We start from the raw sequence: 3,223 nt of genomic DNA, 5'->3' as shown, positions 1-3,223 counted from the left end.
TTATTTTTAAAAACTCCAATAAAATGTACAACTATTTGGAAAGATTAAAGTAAATGTAAAAACATAGCATAAATTAGTCCAGGTGCAGTGGCTCACTCCTGTAATCCCAGCATATTGGGACACCTACGAGGGCAATAAAGAGGGCAAATTACTTAAGGCTAGGAATTGGAAACCAGCCTGGCCAACATGGTGAAACCTTGTCTCTACTAAAAATACAAAAAGTAGACGGACATGGTGGAGCACACCTGTAATCCCAGCTACTCCTGAGGCTGAGGAAGGAGAATCACTTGAACCTGGGGGGTGGAGGCTGCAGTGAGCGGAGATCACGCCACTGTACTACAGCCTGGGCAACAGAGTGGAACTCCGTCTCAAACAACAAACAAACAAAAAAATTAGCATAAATGACATAATATCACATGATAGAGATACTCCTTAAAGATGTTAGCTTTTGGAGAAAGGCTATGGGAATACAGCAGAGGAGGGAGCACCAGGAATCTCTCTCCCCACATAGACAATGGTGACATTGACAGAATCACAGTCTGATATAACTACTTTGGAACTCTGGAGTCTTTTGAAGGCTTGAAACTTCCAGGGAAAGGCTTGGATTTACAGCATGCAGGAACCAGGTGGCCAAAAAGGAGACTTTTCAAAAATCAGAGATCTGTACTCTGATTTTGGGTTGTTCCTTCTGATCACAAAGACATAGAAAAGAAGCAAGTGATCAGTGTTGTTGCATCTACCGCCACTTTTGCCAGGGCCTCCCACTTTGGCTGAATTACCAAGGAATTTAGAGGGGACTCATGCCCTTGTCCACCAATTTTCATTTTTTTTCTATGTTTTTTTTTTCCTTTTGGAAGTCAGACGTTAAAGGCTATAACATTTAGAAGTAACTGCATATACAGAAAAAATTACAAAGTGAAAACACAAGCCCAGGAAAAGACACAGAATGAGAAAAAAGCAAAACAAAACAAAACAAAACCTGTAAAAAAATATTTGGTGGGAGGGGCCAAGATGGCAGAGTAGAAACAGCTCTGGTCTGGATCTCCCAGCAAAACCAACGCAGAAAACCAGTGATTCCTGCATTTCTAACTGAGGTACTCAGTTCATCTCACTGGGACTGCTTAGGCAGTGGGTGCAACTCAGGGAGCAGAAGCAGGGTAGGGCATCACTTCACGTGGGAAGTGCACTGAGCCGGGGGATCTCCCTCCCCCAGCCAAGGGAAGCCGTGAGGCACTGCTACTCCTGAGGGGTACTATGCTTTTCCCACAATTTGTTTTTTCAATTTGCCGATCAGGAGATTACCTCCTGAGCCTATACCACCAGGGCTCCGGGTTTCAATCACAAAACAAGGCAGCTGTTTGGGCAGGCACTGAGCTGCAGCTGTTTATATATAAACTCCAGCAGCGTCTGGAACTCCAGTGAGACAGGAAAAACATCCTGTCCTTTAGAAAGGCCGCTGAAGCCAGGAAGCCAAGTGGTCTTACTGGCAGGTCCCACTCCCATAAAGCCAAGCAAGCTAAGAACGACTGGCTTGAAATTCTCACTGCCAGCAGAGCAGTCTGGAGTCTGGCTTGGATGACTGAGTTTGGTGGAGAAAGTGGCAACCACCATTACTGTGGCTTTGGTAGGCAATTTTCCCCTGACAGTGCTAAGGAGACTGGGAGGTTTGGACTCGGCAGAATTCACCAAAGCGTAGCAAAGCGGCTGTGGCCAGACTGCTTCTCTAGATTCTTCCTCATTGGGCAAGGCATCTCTGCAGGAAATCCAGCAGTTCCAGTCAGGGGCTTACAGACAGAACTCTCATCTCCCTGGGTCAGAGCACCTGGGGGTAGGGACAGCTGCGGTTTCAGGTTCAACGGATTTAATCTTTGCTGCTTGCCATTTCTGAAGAGAGTGGCTGATCCTGACGAGGGGGATTCTCCCAGCACAGAGCACCAGCTCTGCTAAGGGACTGACTGCCTCCTCAAGCAGGTATCTGACCCGGTGCCTCCTGACTGGGAGAGACCTCCCAACAGGGGTCGACAGACACCTCATACAGCTGACATCAGGCCAGTGCCCCTCTGGGACGAAGCTTTTAGGGGAAGGAGCAGGCAGAAATCTTTGCTGTTCTGCAGCCTCTGCAGTTCACCTGGTGATACCCAGGTGAACAGGGTCTGGTGTGGACCCTCAGCAAACTGCAGCAGACCTTCAGAAGAGGGGCCTTACTGTTAGAAGAAAAACTAACAAACCAAAAGCAACAACACCACCACCAACAACAAAAAAGACAACCCCCCCCCACCCACAAATCCCCACCCAAAGATCAACAACAGCCTCAAAGATCAACGGGTAGATAAATCCATGAAGATGAGGAAAACCAATGCAAAAACACTGAAAATTCCAAAAGCCAGAATGCTTCTTCTCCAAATGATCACATTACTTTTCCAGCAAGGGCACAGAACTGAATGGAGGATGAGATGAACAAATTGACAGAAGCAGGCTTTGGAAGATGGGTATTAACAAACTCCACTGAGCTAAAGGAGCGTGTTCTAACCCAATGCAAAGAAGCTAAGAACCTTGATAAAAGGTTACAGGAGTTGCTAACTAGAATAACCTGTTTAGAGAGGAACATAAATGATCGGATGGAGCTGAAAAACACAGCACTAGAACTTTGTCAAACATACACAAGTATCAATAGCCAAATCGATCAAGCAGAAGAAAGGATGTCAGAATTTGAAGACCATCTTGCTGAAATGAGGCATGCAGACAAGATGAGAGAATAAAGAATGAAAAGGAACAAATCAAATGTCTGAGGAATGTGGGACTATATAAAAAGACTGAACCTATGATTTAGTGGAGTACTTGTAAGCGATAGGGAGCATGGAACCAAGTTGGAAAACCCACCTCAGGATATTATCTGGAAGAAATTCCCCAACCTAGCAAGACAAGCCAACATTCATATTCAGGAAATACAGAAAACATCGCTAAGATAATCAGAGAGAAGAGCAACCCCAAGACACATAATCATCAGATTCTCCAAGGTAAAATTAAGGATAAAATATTAAGGGCAGCCAGAGAGAAAGGTCACCTACAAAGGGAAGCCCATCAGACTAACAGCAGATCTCTCAGCAGAAACTCCATAAGCCAGAAGAGAGTGAGGGTCAATATTCAACATTCTTAAATAAAAGAATTTTCAACCCAGAATTTCATATCCAGCCATACTAAGTTTCATAAGGGAAGGAGAAAT

Source organism: Homo sapiens, chromosome 4 (assembly GCF_000001405.40).
Source record: "Homo sapiens chromosome 4, GRCh38.p14 Primary Assembly".
Taxonomy (NCBI): Eukaryota; Metazoa; Chordata; class Mammalia; order Primates; family Hominidae; genus Homo; species Homo sapiens.
The sequence above is the reverse complement of the archived record's forward strand: the minus strand, read 5'-3'. Positions refer to the sequence as shown.